A 22,210-nucleotide genomic window follows, 5' to 3' on the forward strand; every position below is an offset into this window, starting at 1 on the left:
AGCAAAAAATACAAGAAATTAGCCGGGTGTGGTGGCGGAAGCCTGTAGTCCCAGCTACTCAGGAGGCTGAGGCAGGAGAAGTGCAGTGTCTTGATCTCAGCTTACCGCAACCTCTCGCTCCCAGGTTCAAGTGATTCTCCAGCCTCAGCCTCCCGAGTAGCTGGAACTACAGGTGTGAACCCGGGAGGCGGAGCTTGCAGAGAGCAGATATCGCGCCACTGCACTCCAGCCTGGGAGACAGAGCGAGACTCCGTCTCAAAAAAAAAAAAAAAAAAAAAAAAAAAAAAAAAAAAAAAAGAAATGAAGCATTACAGAGGTTCAGTGACTTGCACAAGACCATATAGCAGTAACTGGCAGAAACAAGATCCAAACCTAAGTTAGTCTTCCAAAACGTTCAGCTAAAAGGCAAACTAAACTGATAAAGTTTTTGAAAATATGTGTAAAATTACCGGCTCTTTTCCAGGTTCAGTCAACTGGAAAGTCAGAAAAGAAAGGACATCATGGTCATCTACAAATTAAAAAAAAAAAAGTCTGAAAAAGTTCCATAGGAGATTACTTTTATCATTGTAAATGTATTTTATCAATATTTATTGTTTTAAATAACAATAACCAGTGAGGGAATTGACAAAAATTAGCACTAATTTGGTAAAGGCAATGGCACTCTGTGAGCTTAGAGACCAAAATTCACCTGAAAGATTTATATTAGAAATAATCCAAAACTCACTTTTTAAAACCCTAAATCAGAATATTTAGCAGTGTTTAACATATAATAGATGTTTAATCAATGTTTGATAAGAAATGAACAAACAAATGAAGGGTCAAAAGAAGTCCAAACTCCTTATTCTGGTACCAAGATCCTCCATGGTTTCCCACAAATCTCCTTCATGGACAACGTCCCAGACAAATGAGAGAAAATCCTGGTCTCCACATACTGCCGGGTACCTATATGTCTCTGAACCTTTCTTAAGAGTGCATACCACCTTTTGTCTTACTTTCTTATTTGTTTCTCTCACATGGAAGATATTAATAATTTTATCTTACCTAAAATCATATCAAAAAATCAAATTCAAGCTGTTTATGCTAAAAGCACCAGCTCAGCAAATCAAACTTCCTAACCCTTAACTAAAATACCAATCCTGGCTAGTCACATCCACCAATCAAGAGCAATTAATATCAATCGTACAGCAATCTTTATGCTTTGTACTGTTTTTACGGAATCTAGAGATGTAGACAGATTAAAAAGAAAACTATAATACTGTAGTGTAGACTAAGTAACTTAAGAAACTGTGTTGGGTAACAGGGCACTGAACCTGGAGTCAGAAATCCAGGCCGAGTCCTGCCTGGGGCTTACCATCAATTGGCCATACGATCTTCAGAAATTTCTTTCACCTAAAATTTGGCAAGTTCTTCTAAAAATATGGAAAATAGGATCTTCCCTCCCTTCTTCTCTGGGTTGTCAGGAACAATCCATGTATTTGAAAATATTTAAAACTACAATGTGTCATATAAACATAAAATGGCATTGACGTTGAATGGTAATTTATCACCTTATGTGGAAAAAAATGGTAACTATGGTTTTGTTTAAAGTTTAGTCACCAAATAACCTTTCCTTAGGTTGCCAAATTCATTTACATGTGATGTGACAATGATCAGGATCCTAAAACACTTGGCAATTAACCTTTCTGTGGATGTGACTAGCCAAGACTGCTATTTTAGTTAATTGTCATGTGGTTTGATCTCCAGCCTTTAAGCCTGCTGACTTTGATAGCCTCTACTTTAAATATGTCTCCTTCACTATAAAATAGCACCCAAACTGATGCTGTAATTGACACACTTGTATACAGCCCCAGTTAACTGTACACCTACCGAACAATGTAAGTAGAAAATTAGCAATCTCAACAGACCAAAAGACTGGCACAAGAGGTGATGGGAAAGTTCCAAACAGTCTTAAAAAGTTATTAGTATAAACAAGTCTACATATCCCTAATATACTATTCCCAATAAAACACACCTCACAAACTTTTAATATCATCAGACTGCAAGATTTACCTGCAAGACCTCCAGTTGCAGCAGATATTCCAAAATGCCCTTGTGCAGGGATAATCATATTTTCCACTTTGGCACAAAATTCATAATCATTTTTATCTGGTGTAAAGCCATTATTGATCATTACCTAGAAAGACATATCATAGCTATAGCTTTTGCAAAAGACATTAGAAAATAAATTTCAATCGATCCATTTTATGACTACTATTCAGTTTTGTTTCATTATTATAAAGAGTAATTTTAAATAACGTTTCCTACTTGGTGTCAATATACAATATATTTTACTTAAAAAAATGAGTTTTGCCCCACTATGTGTCAAAAGTTTAAAGAGAGAAAAATCTGATAACTTTCTATGAAAACCTTTCTAAAATGGAATATGGTTTGCCTTCTCTCAAGAAGACCTAGGGAGTCATCATTACTCCCTTGGAATGGTTCATGCAGCAGAGGGATCAGACTTGTTCTCAGATCCCAGTGACAGCTAAAACCAAGAGGTTAAATTTACAATTTTATCTGCAGCTGGTTGAGAATTAAACAGATTGTCTCAACAAGTAGTGAGCTCCTCTTAATTAAATTAGTGAGGTATCTGGACTGTCACAGGTTAGCAGAGAACAAAAGTGACAGAAGTCATACTGACAAGGCAGAGAAGGAAAAAACTAAAAAGATGTACGTTTCTACTTTGCAAAATGTATATTTGAAGGAATGATCCTAAATTTCTTAACAGAATCTTAGAATCCTAGGCAAGCACAGGAATCCACCTGACACATGAATGCTTTTCTCATTATCCCAGTCAAGCAGTGGTTCAGCCTCTTCAATACATTTCATTTCTAATAATCCTCTCACGAGTCCCACCCTAAACAACAGTCACTGAGGTTCAGGGTGGTTGCAGGAGAAGGCCCAAGGCACCAGAGTAAGGGAACTTGAGTCATTACTTCTAGAGTCAAAATTTTGTCAGAGACTTAAGATTCAGTCACACAGGCAAAATGTTCTGGTATTCTGTCCAAATTTTCAGCAAGAGAATAAAATCTGTCAATATGAAGAGTTACTCTCTATATACTGTAGAATGGAAACATGTGAACTAAAAATTAGTTTAAAATAATTAATTTTAAAAGATCATTTAGCATTTGGTTCATATTAATATGTTTCCTGTGATTAGTAATATTCCTATTTCATTTTACATCATTTACAACTGGTCCTCCTCCACAGAGCCTTTTAAATTAGAATCAACAATCAGGAAGTTATTTGCCTTTGAGTCTTAAAAAGACTGTAGATTATTACATTCAAATTACAATACTAAAATCCTCCAATTGTTCAGTATTTTTTTCCTTGAATTCTAACAAACTGAAAATCCAGCATGAGTCTTCATTGTCTAGTTCCAATTATTTTTATTTATTTATTTATTTTTTGAGACAGGGTCTCGCTCTGTCGCCCAGGCTGGAGTGCAGTGGTGTGATCTCGGCTCACTGCAAACTCTGCCTCCAGGGTTCACGCCATTCTCCTGCCTCAGCCTCCCGAGTAGCGGAGACTACAGGCTCCCGCCACAAAGCCTGGCTAATTTTTTTGTATTTTTAGTAGAGGCGGGGTTTCACCGTGTGAGCCAGGATGGTCTTGATCTCCTGACCTCGTGATCCGCCCGCCTCGGCCTCCTAAAGTGCTAGGATTACATGTGTGAGCCACCGCGCCCGGCCCCAATTTTTTTTTAAAGGACGTAACACATTTCATTGTACTGTGAGTTAGCAGGAATGTTAGGAAGGACTGTAACTGAAAGCCTAGGTACAAACTGTCCACTGATTATTACTTCTTTATGAGATCATCAATAACCTTCCTTATTCACCTTATGGTTTCAAACCATTGTTAAAGACTACACTTGCAATATTTAAGATCTCTTGCTTTGGCTGTGTTTCCCCCACCAACAGCACTTATTGCTTTCAACCTCCTCTTACTTTGTTTTTCCCTCCAATGTGGAAACAACTGGGACAAGCTAGGGTGCAAGTACTCATGAAAATAAATACTTCTTGAGCACTTCACATTGGCACAATATTAGGAACTAGGAGAAATACAGGATATGCCTATTGTGAGAAGTTTACAATCATATTGATAAGAAGAGATATACATATAGTTAATAAGCAAATCAGTACAACATATCTCAAGGCCAAATAAGCATTAGAGAAAAAAAAATACTCTAAGAGTTTAGGAGAGACAGATCATTATGAGCTGTTTAGGAAATCTGATAGAAAAGGGATCTGAATTTGTGTGCTCAAAGCTAAGTATGACTTTAACAAGTAGAAAGAAAAGGAATTATTACCAGACTGAGATGTACAGAGAGGTGAAAACCAATAAGTAGCAGTCACGTGTCCAGCCAGTCTCTTCAAAACGTGTACCTGAAAACACTAGCTCCATGATCACTCATAGACATTAGGTGAAAAAAAATTCCATAGTTAAGTCAGTCTGGGAAATGTGAGGTCTAATAAAGGTTTATTTATCCTTTCTTTATAAAGGATCCTTCATAAAGAAATCTTTAATGTGCTAATATGCAGAGTAGTGACCAATCTCATCAATTGTGGAACCCTTTCTGGGGAGTACGTTTTGCAAGGCTATTGTTTTGGAGTGCTGCCAGGGCTCACAGCCTCACGGTGTTGGGTCACACGGACAGTCTGCACCCACCATGCTTGATGTCTGGGCTTTGCTACATGCAGGTAAGCAAGACTTACTGATGACTCTAATGAAACTGTACAGGGTGAATAATTATAGTGGAATTCAAACCCAAGCTAATTATAATACATTGGACACTTGCTCTATTCTAAGATCTCTAAATTAGCTTGGAATTAAGACTAAGCCAATACAGTTTTCCACAGAACTAACTTTCTCAGAGATTTAGACCCAGGAGTGTAAGTCTAGCTCATGATTTAGGTGAAAGAAAAATTCATACACTATTTTTTTTACTTTTAAGTATTATATAACCAGGTATTAATGGCATCTTTAAAAAGCAAAGTTTACAATGCATAGTGATCTTAGTTATCATAACTGCCAGTTAGATATCTCCACCTATATGTTATGCTAACCTCAATTTACCTACAACTAAACTCATTACCAACCCTCTGATTTCCCATTCCTCCCCCAAACAGATAAAACACAAACAAATGTGCTGCTTCTTTGCTAGTAAATAGTACCAATTAGCTGTCCAATTGGCTATATTCAGGAACTCTCCTTGACTCAACAACTGTGTTCACCCCTAACCCCAAGAAAACTGGTACTAAGAATACTGGGACCTAAGTCATCTTTCTAAATTGCAAATCTGATAATTTCACTTCCTGCTTAAAACCCTTTAAACATTTTTAAAAGCTTCTTATGGGTTAAACTACAGGAAGCTGTGCAAGGCCTGTTACTGCCCTTTCAACCTCACTGCTCACTGATCTCTTCTATCTCCCAGCCACACCAAACTACATGCCTTTCCAAAATATTTCAAGCTCTCTCAAGGGCCTATGCCTGCTTTCTGTGCTTGGAGTACACCCACTCACTCGCACACACACACACCCTCTTCCCCCAACTCCCAGGAACTTCCTGATCTCCCTGTAGGGCACAGCTCAACTCTGAGAAAATGTTCCTGCCCTTCCCCACCTCCACCTGGCAGTTACAGGATTCTAACCACAGGACCGCTTGATAGTGTCTGCAACGCAGCATTTATCACACAGCATAGGAATGATACATTTGTGTGTCCTCTGTTAGGCTATAAGCTCTCTGGGGAGAAAGTCCATCTGTCTTACTCATATTTGTATCCTGAAGGCTTGGAGATTATCCGTCTATCTATCTATCTACCTATCTATCTATCTATCTATAGATATATATATCTCTCACATGTGCTATACAGTAGGGGGCTTAAACATTTACTGACTAAATGGAAACATACCATCAGGGGTTTACAACAGATGACCACTTACACTGAGCTGTGAAGCCACCTCCGTTCTCTTAGAGTAACAATGAAGAGTATGTAAGCATATCCAAATTTAAGTGCATTTAATTTCTATCAAAAATTCAAAATGAAAAGTGATACTGTAACATTGTTTATTTGATTCTCTCTAAATAGATGTTACTTACTGTCAGTGTGTTCTGGTAATAGGTAATCTTTGCTCGGACAGGATAGGGTTTGTTGCGGAAGTCCCTCTGGCAACTTGCCAAAGCTTGACTAGCCCCGTCACTATAGTGTAAGGGGGAGGAAAACAGACAAGACACTCAGCTTTTCAATATTTAAAAATTCAGGAAGACTAAAATAATATCAAGTTATGAAAAAGTCTTGAGATACTTTATGTTATTTACTCAAAAGACTACACGAGACTACATGAGACTAAGGCAGTGAATCTCTACCCTAGGGCAGAACATGAATCACTCTCTGGGCTTTTAACATGTAGATTCCACTCCAAATCAACTGAAGCAGAATCAAAAGGAGGTGGCCTAGGCACCTCCATTTTAAATAGCTCCATAGGGAGTTATGATGAACTACCAGGGCTGAAACTCACTAAGGCAGAAAAACAGTAAACAGGCACATGGATAAGTCACCTTTCTTACAGTTCACTGGTTAAAAGCTATTTCCTCCACAACAAACACGTGAAAATAAAAAATGTACATACCTAATTTATATACATTATAAATATACAGTCATCCTTCAACATCCATAGGACATTGGTTCCAGGACCCCTGTGGATACCAAAATCCTCAGATGCTGAAGTCCCTTATATAAAATGGCACAGTATTTACATATAACGTGTACATATCCTCTTGTATACTTTAAATCATCTCTAGATTACTTATCACACCTAATATGATGTAAATGCTTTGTAAATAGTTGTTACAATGTATTTTAAAATTTGTATTCTTGTTGCGTACACAAAATAATTTGTATTATTTTTGATCTGCAGTTGGTTGAATCCACAGATACGGAACCCACAAATACAGAGGGTTGACTGTACTGAACACTTAGAATCTCTGCAAACCACTGAGTCTTTAAATAACACAATATTGAAGTTAAATAAGATGGCATAAATTGCTTAATCATCAGCCTTAATAATCAAGGCTCAACTTTATTTTTTAAAGATCCCTTTTAATGAAGATAAAAATGCATGATTAGTGGCATCACTGAGAGCCAGGAACAGTCTATAAACTTTCAAAAGTATATTATTAAATAATTTGAGGTTAAATTAAAAACACATACCATGGTTGAATCTGAGATGGTCCACAGATAGAACTTCAGAACAGAACCAAATAAAATAAAACCTTTCTACCAAGTTACAAAATATGTCTCAAGAAAAAGAACAGTATTTTTTTCATTTGGAAGGTGTTCAGATTTGAAACAATGTATTTCATAAGGATTCCAAAAAGAAGCTGAAATCAGGAGTAATGTAAAAAACACACACTTACTTTTGATGGTCATAATGGATTTGTCCATTGTTGCCTATAATTACTATAGCAGGATTATTTTTCTAAAAAAAAGGAAAACATTTTAAAAAATGTCTTTAATCAAAGCATTCTACATCATTCTTGATGTACTATGAAGTGACTTACATATCTAAGATTCTAGGACTCAAAATTTTAAAATAACCTGGCCTTGGCACTCAAGGAATTACTAAAGTTCTTTAAATTGCTAACAATAACCCCTGAAAATTAATAGAGAAACAACCAGCTGATGGGAAGATCATCAACCTTAAGGCTGTTAAGCCACAAGCTAATGTTTCCAATTTGTAAGTACATTTTGATCTTAACTGTTTTAGGAGAGATCATCAGAAAAATTGGCCCGATCAAAAAGAATGATTAACATATGACCAGACATGAATATGTGAGCTAGCATTAGTCATGGACTTGGATGTGCTTATGTAAGTGTTTAGTAGAGTCTCCTAAACACTACTGTTTTCACCACCTACGTCTAAGGATTTGTATTTATCCATTAAATAGGGCCATGGGAGCAGGGGTCACTGCAAAGTTCTGAGAGTCAGGGCTCTACTATGCCCTCAAGCTGATGTACAAAAAATCATGCACATGTAAATTAAACTGATACATTCCTAGCTATATAAAGACTAATTATCACATTTACCATATAGCTTGGGGAGTTCTGTACTATCAAACTGATGAAAGCATTGAATAAGCTATTATTTCTCACAGCCTAACTCTGTTGATAGATGTATTAAAGTGGATAACAGTCCTGACAATAAATATACCTTTCCATCATTGTCAAAAGAATCAAAAAATATTCCAACACCATTCCACAGATCAGCTGATCCAAACACAGGGCCCTCCAAGCCTTGATTTTCTGCATACCAAATTGCCTGAAAATATGTAATAGGGAACAGTTAGAGGCTAGTGGTATATGCATTTATGCACATTTTCTAAGTTAAAGAAATGATCATACTAGGCCATCAGCTCCAATTCGACCTCTTCCAGTCACTCGAAATGTCACCTCAACTTCCCAGTTCTCAAAGGCCGCTTTTGTCTTTGTCCACACTGAGCCTCTTTGGCTTTTTAAAGATGGTGCTACTCGAATTTGATCTGAACTTGGAATAGCATCTAGAACAGAAATCAGGGGAAAAAAGCTTTAAGTTATAATTAGGTAAAACTCAATGATCATTTCCAAACTGCTAAATATACCTACAGAGACTTAGTAACCTGTACAATAATGATTTGGAAAAAATTTCATGTTGACAGTTTTAACTTTAAAAGTTTAGGGCTAACACCTCCCTTATCAAATAAAAAAAATTAAAGCTACACTCATACACTAAAAATTACAGGGACAGTGGGTGAGAGAAAGGGAATTATGACTTTAAGGCAAACTATCTGAGTCTCATAACATTCTTTTTAAAAACCTTAAAAATTTGTATTTTTAGAAAAGCTGCAACGTATTTTACCTGTTTGCAAAGGTTAGAAAGCTCAAACAGTGTGAAAAGAACATACCACTAGGAATCAAGAGACTTGTTCCTAGTCTCAGTTCAGCTGTGTGACTTTGAGCAAATAATTCTCTTATTCTCTTGGATTCACCATATGTTTACCTGTAAAATGAAGGAGCTAGGCTCGATCACTTCCATAAACACCCTAAAAGTTATATGCAAAATACTGTACTTATATACATTCTTCCATGGAGAGGGTCAACTGAACTTCAAAAAGCAATTCTTCAGAAGATTCTCAGAGAAAATAGTGATCCCTAAAACGGTGGTTTACATCTCCAGGCTAGGTTCAAGCCCCAGCTCTACTACTTACTAGCTGTTTGATCTGTAGGCAAGTTACTCCATTTCTTGAACAGCCTCATAGGTATTTAAGTGCCTACACAAGTAGCTTTAAATGTTTCAATAAATGTTAGCTATTTCTCCTATTATTAGACTAGGTAATTACTAAAGGTCTATCAGACTTAAAATTTGAACAATTCTAGCTCTCAGATATTAACTAATTCTGAAACCCATGCTGGGAAATACAACTGTAACTGTAATCTCACTTTACAGGTAGAAAAAAGTTGACAAAAAGGAAAGCTGAGATACTTTAGTAGGATCAGTCACTGTTCACTGTTACTTACAAACATTCAAAGGATGGGGTGTGGGCATCATGGAAAGAGACTGAACACAGAATCAGAAGACCTAGATTTGAGTTCAACTTCACTGACACTTACTACTTATGTATCCTTTTTCAAAAACCTTAACCTTTCTGAACATCAGTTTTTCATCTATAAAACAGATAACACCCGCCTTGTCTACTAAGGATCAAATCAGAGAATGAAAGTGAAAGAACTCTGAGAGCTATAAAGGGTTACAAATTATCATTTTTTGCCCTTATGGCCTTAAGTGTACTAAAGGAACATTAGAGTTAAGAAAGAGAAACACCATAGATTTGGTCTTAATTTGGGGTTGAAGGTAAAGGGCTGTGTTTAAACTAGATCTTAAATTTCTCTACTTTTTTTTTAAAGTAATGAATTGCAGAGCAAAACGAAAAGAAAAAAATGATCAATGTAGTTACAGTGAGGCTTATGCAAAAACTACAGTGACAATGAAAGCAAGGGATGTCTATAGCAGAGATTCCCAGAGCCAGTAGCCAGATAAATCATGGCTAAAATACTAATACTTTGTTTCAAATTCATTCTAGCCACACGGCTTTAATTTACTGGTACATTATCTTGACATTTCTGCAGCAGAATAGATTAGTTGGTTCCGGCTCTGTAAAGGAAGTCAAGGTAGCTGATTTGACTAGTTGATTAACATTCCTAATTGGCTAATGTAGTGTATGTGAGTGTGAGAAAAAGAGAAAAGGGATAGAAGAACAGGCAGGCAGTGGAGAGGTGTAGAAGTGAAAATGTGTGAACAAATCCATCACTACTGAATAATTCATCATCCCACAAATAGAAACAAAAACTCCAAAAACTTGTGTTTGATATCATTTGCATCACCTTTGTGTATCAAGAATAGAGATACCTTGATAACAAATGCCCAGTAATATACCCTTGCTGCATGGGCACATAATAAATGACTGCTGAGTAACGAAATAACTGCACTCTACTTCAACTACTTAATGACTTGGTCATTAAGTCAAATTAAAATCTATACCTTTCAATTACACATTAATTTGAGAGAAATAGCGCTTCCTAAAAGGGTGCTTCCTATTCAGTAATTACTTTCTAGAAATGAAACATTTTGTTTCAAGAACTGGATAATCTAAAGTGATGTATAAAAACCTTATATAAAAGATTACTTATGGGGGAGGTGGGAGGGATAGCATTAGGAGATATACCTAATGTTAAATGACTAGTTAATGGGTGCAGCACACCAACATGGCAAATGTATACATACTAACCAACCTGCACGTTGTGCACATGTACCCTAAACCTTATAGTAAAAAAAAAAAAAAAAAAAAAGATTAATCACACACAAAGATAGAATTCAAACTGCCAGAGCTCCTCATCTCATATAAAGGCATTTGCCACTTGTTCAACGGGTATATCTGATGGTCACTGAACAGAGCTTATGTCATGCCAAGTGCTACGATTGACTCCTTAGTCAGCAGTGACACATCAGCACTAAAAAGTGCAGATATGTTTTCTTTCACGTAAGTAAATGCTCTAGCAAGGCTCTCTTATCTACAAAAGTGCCAAACACAGAGAGTGAATAAAATATGAACCCAAGATTATTTCAATGCTTCCAATTTTTTTAAAGGGCTAAAAATGTAATGCTATTCTTAGTCTCAGGTTCAGAAACAATCAATCCCTAAAAATATATCCCTTCTCCTAAAAAGTTACATAATGTGTTACTACGAGAGAAAAGATCAAAGACCACACCAAGTCACTGAGAGGAAAATGTGTAGTTCCAACAGTATAAGAATGTCTTCTGACATACAAAGACTTAAAAAATTACTCTAATACTACTATATGCCATCTCAGGAGCCGTCAGTGGGCATGGGGTTCAAGCGAAGCATTAACCATTGCTAACACCGGAGCAAAGAAATCGGGGATCGGGGGTGGGGGGTGGAAGCGGGAAAGGAAGTAAGGGGGCTTCTAGAACATGTCTCAGGTTGGGATGGCTGGGGGTAGGGCACATTTCTCCTAGAGACGTGGCGTTGTGAAACATGATACCTAGAAGCAAGTTTGAGTGCTAGGAAGTGTAGGAGGTAACCAAACACCTCTAGATCCAACGGAAAGTACCGACGAGATCAAAGAAGGGAAGACAGCAGGCGGGTGAGAGAGAACAGAATGGGTGAGGGAAAGACTCGGGGACAAGCGGAGGGAACCGTGCGAACCAGGAGGGACCCGGCGGAGGGGCTGCCAGGAGGGTCCCCTCCACAGCGCATATGGTGTGCAGCTGCTGGAACGGGAACCTCAGCACACCAGGGTAGCCGCGGATGAAAGGCGAAGAGGCAGCAGAAGGGGGAGAGGAACCCGGCCCCCAGCCCTCTGCTCCGGCTTACTCCCCGCGTGGGCCCAGAAGGGCACGGTCCCGTCGCTCTGCACCAGGTGCGGCCCCTTGAAGCTGTATTTGTACTCGAAACGGCGATGTGGCAACGCGACCGCGGGGTCTCCTCCCACGCCGTCGCCCCGGACGAAGCGACCGAGTGACAGCAGCAAGGCGCAGAACAGCGGCCGAACTCTGGCCCGGAGACCCCTTTGCCTGGATCCCGCCATCTTGGATTCTGGAACGCGGAGGAGGGCGGGAGAGGGAGGGGCGCGGATGGCTGCGGATGGCCAACAGGGCGCTCGCTGATTGGCAGAGCCCGGGGGACCCCCAAGGGCAAGGGGTGAGCCCCGCCCCCGGCCTCCGCTTTCCGCGCGGCCGCACGGCCAGGAGCAGCTGTGGGCGGGGCCACGCGCAGGGGGCGGGTCTGGGGCGGTGCGGTCCTTCGGCCCCGCCCACCCTCCGGGGGTGGGGAAAGGACTCCAACCTTCGCTTCCCGCGCGGCAGAGTGCGGGAAGCGCCGATGGGTCCTTACCTGCAGGGAGCTTTCTCCGGCTTCTTAGAATACCTGGGAGCAGGAATTGGCTAGCCCTAAGACCTCTGGACCCAGCCTGTACAAAACCTTTTTAGTATATTAGAAGAAAGGTGTTCCTTTTGATGTGACATCAGTTTTTCAGTGGCACAATCCCGAATGCTTATGGTCCCAGCCCACTGAGCTCTACCAAGCTATGTTAGAGCGTTGCAAACTAGAAACCAGCACCCACGGGGTTGTAGGATGCCTTAGGATTTATAAGTTGGTGTCGGAAAGAGGGTTTCTGTGAATTTGTCAGCCAGCCTTTACATCTCAAAATTTAATTCCAAGAGCTTTCCAAATTTTGAAACCATGGCAAGAGTGCATTCAAATGAAACTGACTTTGGTTTGGTTTGGTTTTGGTGAGAGGGATAATGTGCTATGGACCCAGGCGTCTGTAGAACCTGGACATTTGATATAGGATCGGTCTTCCACTCAATGAATACGTTCTATATTTTAAAGGGGACTCCTCTTTCCCTTGCTTAGGAAAAAATATCGTCAAAATATTCATGGTAATCCAAAGTTTTGTTTTTTCAAAAATGTGTCATGATGAGTTTTTCAAGTCCAAGAAACAGCAGTATGATTTATATTGTTTTTACACATGGCTTTTTATTAGCTCTGTTCGTGTGGGCTACATGAACGCCACACTAGCCCTAGGGACTCAATACCCGCATTACTTAAACTTATTTTTCATTAACTTCCCAGTTTTGGAAGTTGAATCCCATCTTCGGATTCATGGGCCATTACTGTTAAATCTCTTTCTAGTGCTCAAATAAAACCTTCAAGTTGAATATGGATTTAAGGCTTTCCGCCTGCTAGTCTCGAGATGTAATTTAAATGAAAGTACCATACTTACTGCTATCTCAGCAGCAGCAGTAACAAACATTTATCCACTGTATGGTGTATGTGCGTCATTGCCCTGGACTCTCCATGGTTTTCAACCCATAGGATTTAATCATTTTATTTTCTTTGGTTCTCTCATTGCTCTGGCAACCAGCTCTATGCCTTGCACAGAGTGAAGATTCCATAAATATTTGTTAAACAAACATTAATGTTATAAAAATGGCAAACACTTACTGAGTGCTTTCTGTGTGTAACTGCACTAAGCCTTCAACATATGTTAACTTATTGAATGCTGACAGCAGCCCTCTAAGGTAGATGCCATTAATATTTCCATTTACAGATGAGGAAACAGAAGCATAGATTAAATAATTTGCCCAATGTCACACAGTAAGTGGCAGAGGTAGGTTTCAATTCCAGCCATTCTATCATTGAAGCCTTCAATCTTAAGAACCGTTTTATGTTAAACATTATGTATATTAAGTATTTTCAATTCATTACGCATGATTTGAACTCATGAGGGACCTGAATTTCAAGCATAATACAAGTAAATATTTGTAATTTTGCTGAACCATAAATGTAAATCTTTATGTTCTGTGAAGCTGTTTCTTAAAAAAAAAACTGTTTTATTGAAGCATATTATATAGAGAAAATTATGCCAGCCTTAAGAATGTAACTCAATGAATTTTTCCCAAAATGAATACCTCCCATGCAACCAGCATCCAGATTTTTTTTTTAAAAAACACACATTTCTAGAGTTAATGGGTGCAGCACACCAACATGGCACATGTATACATATGTAACAAACCTGCACGTTGTGCACATGTACCCTAGAACTTAAAGTATAATAAAAAAAAATTTCTACTGGGTATGTAACTAGGAGTAGAGTTGCTGGGTCATAGTAGATCCTGCCAAATTTTCAGAGTGGTTGTGCTAATTTACACTGCCATCAGCAGTATGTGAGGGCTTCAGCTGTCTGACTTTTTTTGTTAGCTTGTAGAAACTCTTTATTCTGAATACCTGTCTCTGCTTGGATATATACATATAGCGAATATTTGCACCCACTTCGTGGGATGACTTTTCACTCTCTTAATGTTGTCTTTTAGTGAATAGATACTTATAATTTTAATATAGCTCAATTTACTATTTTCCCCCGTAAGGGTTTTTTGTGTGTCATGTCTGGGAATCTTGCTTGTTGTTTTGTCTAAGTTGTTAAACTTTAAATTTTATAGCATTTTTCCTTCAGAACTGAGAGCTTTTCGGTTTGAGTTAGATAAGACCATTTTACAAATAGCGAAATTGAGAAACTGGGCCTGGCAAACTGAAGTTTCAAGGATCAGAATGCTTTTACTCCAGGCCCCAGGAACTCTGGGCCAGTGAATTTTAAAATCTGTGTTTTTGAAGTAATCCATGTAGGGGAAATTCCTTACAATTAAGTGATGTTTTACCTTCAGGGCAATACCGTATTGCAAATTTTGTACAACACAATGAGGAGGGATTTCCTACTACCCTCTAGTGCCTGAGGCAATTTCCAAAAATTAAGCTCAGATTTTTGAATTGGGAGGGGAATAAAAATTATGAGGGTCCCTCAACACACCATTGGGCCCTGCACAGAGCTGGAGAGATGGAGTGGCAGTACCAGGGCTTGGTTTGCTGCCTGATTCCTTATAACTATCTTCTGGCAATATCCATGACTCATTGCCAGCCTCTTCTGTGCTAGCAAAAAGTATCCCAAATGCCAGAAGATTGACAGGCCTGTCCCATTTATAAAACCCATGGATGTCTTCTAGCACATAGCACAGAATGGTGTTTTGCTCTGGAGTGAATAAGAAGCCAAAAAGCAGATTGGGAGATATCTTTTCTTTCTGGTCTTCCTACTCACAGGGAGCCCTGTGGATTAATGGGTTGTTTTTTCATAATTGGTGATCAATTTCAATTTTCTTTGACCCAGATACACTCCCCTCATCAATGGCACACATAATTGTTGGCTGGAGTTGGGGTAAAATCCATGGTCTGTGAGCCACTCCAGTAGTCTTAAAATAGACCTCCGTTTTGCTTAAGCTAGCTGGAAAGAATTTCACTTAGTTACAGCAAAAATAGTGTTAAAACTAAGGTTACCATGCCAATTCATTGTTTGCATTAGTGGATTAACTATTTTTGGAGCCTCCTAATGACTTTGAATAAATTGTATTTGATAAGAGTAATGAAAACGATATTGTCTGCCTGCTCCTTCAGTGCATGATCATTCATTCACATGTGTTTGTTCTTATTCACAACATCAGACAATTAAGTGTTAAAACCGCTATACTAGAGGCAAGGCAGTAGGAATACAACTTGCTTGGGGAATTCAGATTTAACTTTGAACAGTTAGAAAATTATTATATGTGTTTTAATAAGTTGAATGCTTTAGGCTGCAAGGGCAAAAAAAGCCCCAATTCAAAGTGGCTTAAACAATAAAGAAATCTGTTATCTCACTGAACTGTAAATTAGATTAGGACTGGGCCCAGGCAGTTACGACTAGGTTCTCTCTATCTTTGAGAAGTTCTGGTTCTACCTCACATTGACTTTGTCCTCAGGTTAGCTTCTCTCAAGGTTCTAAGATGTCAGATCTTCTTTAGGTTCAATGGGAGAGACAGAAAATCTCTTTCATCCTTGGATAAAATTTCTGCCTTTCATTCTGATTAGGTCAATCTAGGTTACATGTCCATCTTTGGAACATTAACCGTAGCCAGGGGAAGACCAAGCACTGAATCAGTTGCTGGTAAAGAGTACAAGATTACCAGCCTTGATTGAGAACAGTGGTTCTCAAACTCTAATATCATTCAGAATCACTTCTGGAGTTGGTTAAAACACAAATTTCTGAGACCCACATTTCTAGTTTTAGTAGGTTGAGAATAGGGTCTAATAATTTGTATTGCTAACAAGCTCCAGGTGATACTAATGCTGCTTATCTGGGGACCACACTCTGAGAATCACTAGTTAGACAAATCCTGATCTACCCTGGGAACTGGGGATGGAGTTAGCTTCCCCTGAGTCACAAGGGTTATGTGTGTGTGATGGGGAGTGAACGTATGAACTCAACTGGGGATCAGTTCAGAAGGAGGAAGGCAGAAATGAAAGATCCAAATATAACCAACAGTGTGTCCTGCACAGTTAATCAAGAACATGATCGTGCCTTATAGATTATCTATTAGGATTACAAAATGCAGTAGTGATCCAAGTTAGAAGGATATAATTATATGATAAGAACAAAGACTTTTCGGTTCAAGGTTATGCCATAGATCAAATAATCAGTTTTCAACCAACAGGGATACAATATATGAGGTTTCTAAGGAAGACGAACACAGAGGTGTACTGAACCACTATGTAGAACAGTCACTCCACTCATCTCTTCTCATGACTTTATGGAGTCATTATTTTCTCTTCAAGTATAGTGCATAACTGCAAGGCAGAGTTACAAAGTGAAGAGTTTAAATTCTTTTCAGTAATGAGTTTAATTAGGGTCCTGTTTATAATTTTTACCAATAAAATTTAAAATATATTACAATCACAAATGCAAAATATGCTAATATAAAAATTAAAATAGTGGAGAACTGTATAAAGTAAAAACAATTCTCTCCCCCTCCCCAACTCCAATCCCACTTCTTGGAGTCAACCAATGATTAGTAGTGTGATACCCAACCTTCCAGAGAATTTCTATTCTGTGCATTTACAAATATATACGCTCTGATTTTTAAAAATAGGATCAGAAGATATAAATGTATGGCATATACATATTTCATTCCATAACATAAAGTAGTTATCTTTCTATAAGGTAAGCATGGATCTACCTAGTACTACCAGTATGATTGTGTCCAGAGCAGGGATGCCTGTCCAAGGTGACAAGAGGAGGTGGAAATCAGCCCTCAGTCTGTGAGTCTGCCACACTACATCCATCAGGAGGAAGTGCCTTTTTCTAACTTTAAGACAGGTGCTATATTAGCAGCCCTAGAAGTGCTTAACTATTTTTAGTACTTCATTGTACGAAACATATCATAATCATAATTTAATCTCATACAGACATTTGAATTGTTTTCCAGTTTTTGCTATTATGAATAACACTTCACAAATACCTTTAATCACTTGAGTCAAAGAAAATTGGAATTGATAACCAATTATTAAAAAACAATCCGTTGATCCTTAGAGCTCCCTCAGCAAGCGGGGGTTACAAAGAAGAATAGATGTCTCCCAATCTCCCAATCTGCTCCTTGTCCTTCTGCTCTCCCAAGACAGTATCAGCATGTGCTATGAGATGTCTATTTGGTTTAAAAATGAGACAGTTCTATTAGTCTGGCATCCTAGACACCTTTTGCCAGCACAGAAAAGAGGAGCAAAGAGTTAATCATATTATCACAAATTTTAGAAGGTTTGATCCCAACCAAGCTGTCATTTTTCTCAGTGTCTTTCTGCCTCTTAAAACACTTCTGGACAGGTGTGGTGGCTCACACCTCTAATCCCAGCACTTTGGGAGGCTGAGGCAGGCAGATTGCTTGAGCTCATGAGTTCAAGACCGGCCTGGGCAACATGGCAAAACCTCATCTCTACTAAAAATACAAAAAATTAGCTGGGTGTGATGGTGCGCACCTGTAGTCCCAGCTACTCTAGAAGCTGAGGTGGGCAGATGGCTTGAGCCCAGGAGGTGGAGGTTGCAGTGAGCCAAGATTGTGCCACTGCACTCTAGCCTGGGTGACAGAGCCAGACCTTGTCTCAAAAATAAATAAATAAATAATTAAATAACTTTGTAAGCATCAAAGACACCCTTTTCAGTAGGGCATCACCTAAATGCTGAAGGCAAGACTCCTGTGTTTTTTTTTTTGATTTTACAATGTTTTCAACTTGAAGGAAATCACAGAGATAATGAAACACAATCCTGTTTCAAACATTTTAGCAGCTTTCCATATTAACTTCAGATATTTAAAAGTAAACATATTAAAATATTGAACCCAGTTGAAGCCCTTTGGCAGGGTTCAATTAAAAATGGCTACAAAGAAAGAGCACGATCCCATTGTGAATATTTACCATGTGTAATATGGTAAAGCAACTGGACATTGTTGATAGATAAGAGTCAGCAAGTCTACTAGTTTTTATTATCTGTTGCTCTAGACACCCAGGACCCTAAAGCATTCTTCTTCACCCCATGAAAGGCCAGAAACCTAATCCATGGTGAGCTGTTAATGACCTAATATTCTTTTTTATCCTCTGTGATTTTGAGTTCCTATATAACATTTCATTCATAGAACTGGGATCCAAGCATCCCTGAGGTCTATGCAACATTTCTCCTTTTTTAAAATTTATTTTACTTTAAGTTCTGGGATACATGTGCAGAATGTGCCGGATTGTTACGTAGGTATACACGTGCCATGGTGGTTTGCTGCACCTATCAACCTATTGTCTAGGTTTTAAGCCCTGCATGTATTAGGTATTTGTCCTAAGGCTCTCCCTCCCCTTGCTCCCCACCCCCACCGACAGGCCCCAGTGTGTGAGTGATGTTCCCCTCCCTGTGTCCATGTGTTCCCATTGTTCAATTCCCAATTATGAGCGAGAACATGCAGTGTTTGGTTTTCTGTTTCTGTGTTAGTTTGCTGAGAATGATGGTTTCCAGCTTCATTCATGTCCCTGCAAAGGACATGAACTCATTCTTTTTTATGGCTGCATAGTATTCCATGTTGTATATGTGCCATATTTTCTTTATCTAGTCTGTCATTAATGGGCATTTGGGTTTGTTCCAAGTCTTTGCTATTATAAATAGTGCTGCACTAAACATACGTGTATATGTATCTTTATAGTAGAAAAATTTATAATCCTTTGGGTATATACCCAGTAATGGGATTGCTGGGTCAAATGGTATTTCTGGTTCTAGATCCTTGAGGAATCGCCACACTGTCTTCCACAATGGTTGAACTAATTTATACTCCCACCAACAGTGTAAAAGCGTTCCTATCTCTCCACAGTCTCGCCAGCATCTGTTGTTTCCTAACTTTTTAATGATTGCCATTCTAACTGGAGTGTGATGGTATCTCTTTGTGGTTTTGATTTGCATTTCTCTAATGACCAGTGATGATGAGCTTTTTGTCATATGTTTTTTGGCTGCATACATGTCTTCTTTAGAGAAGTGTCTGTTCATATCCTTCTTTCTTGATGGTTTTTTTTTTCTTGTAAATTTGTTTTAAGTCCTTGTAGATTCTGGATATTAGACCTTTGTCAGATAGATTGCAAAAAATTTCCCCCATTCTGTAGGTTGCCTGTTCGCTCTGATGATAGTTTCTTTTGCTGTGCAGAAGCTCTTTAGTTTAATTAGATCTAATTTGTCAATTTTAGCTTTTGTTAAGTGTCTGTTCATATCCTTCGCCCACTTTTTGACAGGGTTTTTTTTTTTTTTCTTGTAAATTTGCTTAAGTCCTTGTAGATTCTGGATATTAGACCTTTGTCAGAGGGATAGATTGCAAAAATTTTCTCCCATGCTGTAGGTTTCCTGTTCACTCTAATGATAGTTTCTTTTGCTGTGCAGAAGCTCTTTAGTTTAATTAGGTCCCATTTGTTTATTTTGGCTTTTGTTGTAATTGCTTTTGGTGTTTTAGTCATGAAGTCCTTGCCCATGCCTATGTCCTGAATGGTAGTGCCTAGGTTTTCTTCTAGGGTTTTTATGGTTTGAGGTCTTGTTTAAGTCTTTAATCCATCTTGAGTTAATTTTTGTATAAGGTGTAAGGAAGGGGTCCAGTTTCTGTTTTCTGCATGTGGCTAGCCAGTTTTCCCAGCACCATTTATTAAATAGGGAATCCTTTTGCCATTGCTTTTGTCAGGTTTGTCAAAGATCGGATGGTTGTAGATGTGTGGTGTTATTTCTGACGCCTCTGCTCTGTTCCATTGGTCTATAAATCTGTTTTGGTACCAATACCAGGCTATTTTGGTTACTGTAGCCTTGTAGTATAGTTTGAAGTCAGGTAGCATGATGCCTCCAGCTTTGTTCTTTTTGCTTAGGATTGCCTTGGCTATACAGGCTCTTTTTTGGTTCCATATGTAATTTAAAGTAGTTTTTTCTAATTCTGTGAAGAAAGTCAATGTAGCTTTATGAGAATAGCACTGAATCTATAAATTACTTTGGGCAGTATGGCCATTATATGATATTGATTCTTTCTATCCATGAGGATGGAATGTTTTTCCATTTGTTAGTGTCCTCTCTTATTTCCTTGAGCAGTGGTTTGTAGTTCTCCTTGACGAGGTCCTTCATGTCTCTTGTAAGTTGTATTTGTAGGTATTTTATTCTCTTTGTAGCAATTGTGAATGGCAGTACACTCATGATTTGGCTCTCTGCTTGTCTATTATTGGTGTAGAGGAATGCTTGTGATTTTTGCACATTGATTTTGTATCCTGAGACTTTGCTGAAGTTGCTTATCAGCTTAAGGAGTTTTTGGGCTGAGACAATGGGATTTTCTAAATATACAATTATGTCATCTGCAAACAGAGACAATTTGACTTCCTCTCTTCCTCTTTGAATACACTTTATTTCTTTCTCTTGCCTGACTGCCCCGACCAGAACTTCCAATACTATGTTGAATAGGAGCGGTGAGAGAGGGCATCCTTGTCTTGTGCCAGTTTTCAAAGAGAATGCTTCCAGCTTTTGCCCACTCCATATAATATTGGCTATGGGTTTGTCATAAATAGCTCTTATTATTTTGAGATATGTTGCATCAATGTCTATTTTATTGAGAGTTTTTAGTATGAATGGGGTGTTGAATTTTATCGAAGGCCTTATCTGCATCTATTGAGATAATCATGTGGTTTCATCATTGGTTTTCTTTATGTGATGGATTAGGTTTCTTGATTTGTGTATGTTGAACCAGCCTTGCATCCCAGAGATGAAGCTGACTTGATCGTGGTGGATAAGTTTTTGATGTGCTGCTGGATTCGATTTGCCAGTATTTTATTGAGGATTTTCACATCGACATTCATCAGGGATATTGGCCTGAAATTTTCTTTTTTGTTGTGTCTCTGCCAGGTTTTGGTACCAGGATGAGGCTGGCCTCATAAAATGAGTTAGGGAGGAGTCTCTCTTTTTCTATTGTTTGGAATAGTTTCAGAAGGAATGATACCAGCTCCTCTTTGTACCTCCAGTAGAATTCGGCTGTGAATCTGTCTGGTCCTGGGCTTTTTTTGATTGGTAGGCTATTAATTACTGCCTCAATTTCAGAACTTATTATTGGGCTATTCAGGGATTCGACTTTTTCCTGGCTTAGTCTTGGGAGGGTGTATGCGTAAAGGAATTTATCCATTTCTTCTAGATTTTCTAGTTTATTTGCGTAGAGGTGTTTATAGTATTCTCTGATGGTAGTTTGTATTTCTGTGGGATCAGTGGTGATATCTCCTTTATCATTTTTTATTGTGTCTATTTGATTCTTCCCTCTTTTCTTCTTTATTAGTCTGGCTAGCAGTCTATTTTGTTAATGTTTTTTAAAAATCAGCTCCTGGATTCATCGATCTATTTGAAGGGTTTTTTTCGTGTCTCTTTCTCCTTCATTTCGGCTCTTTCTCCTTCATTTCGGCTCTGATCTTAGTTATTTCTTGTCTTCTGCTAGCTTTTGAATTTGTTTGCTCTTGCTTCTCTAGTTCTTTTAATTGTGATTTAGGGTGTCAATTTCAGATATTTCCCACTTTCCGATGTGGGCATTTAGTGCTATAAATTTCCCTCTTAACACTGCTTTAGCTGTGTCCCAGAGATTCTGGTATGTTGTCTCTTTGTTCTCATTGGTTTCAAAGAACTTCATTATTTCTGCCCTAATTTCGTTATTTACCCAGTAGTCATTCAGGAGCA

General features: G+C 38.5%; 1 protein-coding gene across 1 annotated transcript in view, besides 4 other annotated features; it reads right to left on the reverse strand.

Annotated features, from left to right (window-relative positions):
* The window catches only part of LMAN1 (lectin, mannose binding 1), a 31,443-nt gene extending 19,241 nt beyond the window's left edge, over positions 1-12,202 (reverse strand). The window contains exons 1-7 of the mRNA NM_005570.4: positions 11,968-12,202; positions 8,441-8,595; positions 8,250-8,357; positions 7,456-7,517; positions 6,139-6,238; positions 2,050-2,173; positions 450-508 (exon numbers count right to left, since the gene is read on the reverse strand). Of these exons, the coding sequence (NP_005561.1) occupies positions 450-508; positions 2,050-2,173; positions 6,139-6,238; positions 7,456-7,517; positions 8,250-8,357; positions 8,441-8,595; positions 11,968-12,181 (822 nt within the window). The 5' untranslated portion in view covers positions 12,182-12,202. The remainder of the gene's footprint in view (positions 1-449; positions 509-2,049; positions 2,174-6,138; positions 6,239-7,455; positions 7,518-8,249; positions 8,358-8,440; positions 8,596-11,967) is intronic.
* Positions 11,617-11,716: an enhancer, noted in NCBI's record as "active region_13413". NCBI's record gives its function as "activates an Ori minimal core promoter by ATAC-STARR-seq in GM12878 lymphoblastoid cells {active_cell/tissue: GM12878}" and the evidence as "EXISTENCE:reporter gene assay evidence [ECO:0000049][PMID:35858748]".
* Positions 11,727-11,776: an enhancer, noted in NCBI's record as "active region_13414". NCBI's record gives its function as "activates an Ori minimal core promoter by ATAC-STARR-seq in GM12878 lymphoblastoid cells {active_cell/tissue: GM12878}" and the evidence as "EXISTENCE:reporter gene assay evidence [ECO:0000049][PMID:35858748]".
* Positions 11,967-12,156: an enhancer, noted in NCBI's record as "active region_13415". NCBI's record gives its function as "activates an Ori minimal core promoter by ATAC-STARR-seq in GM12878 lymphoblastoid cells {active_cell/tissue: GM12878}" and the evidence as "EXISTENCE:reporter gene assay evidence [ECO:0000049][PMID:35858748]".
* Positions 12,187-12,486: a silencer, noted in NCBI's record as "silent region_9496". NCBI's record gives its function as "represses an Ori minimal core promoter by ATAC-STARR-seq in GM12878 lymphoblastoid cells {active_cell/tissue: GM12878}" and the evidence as "EXISTENCE:reporter gene assay evidence [ECO:0000049][PMID:35858748]".

The sequence above is a fragment of the Homo sapiens genome, chromosome 18 (assembly GCF_000001405.40).
Source record: "Homo sapiens chromosome 18, GRCh38.p14 Primary Assembly".
NCBI classification, from domain to species: Eukaryota; Metazoa; Chordata; class Mammalia; order Primates; family Hominidae; genus Homo; species Homo sapiens.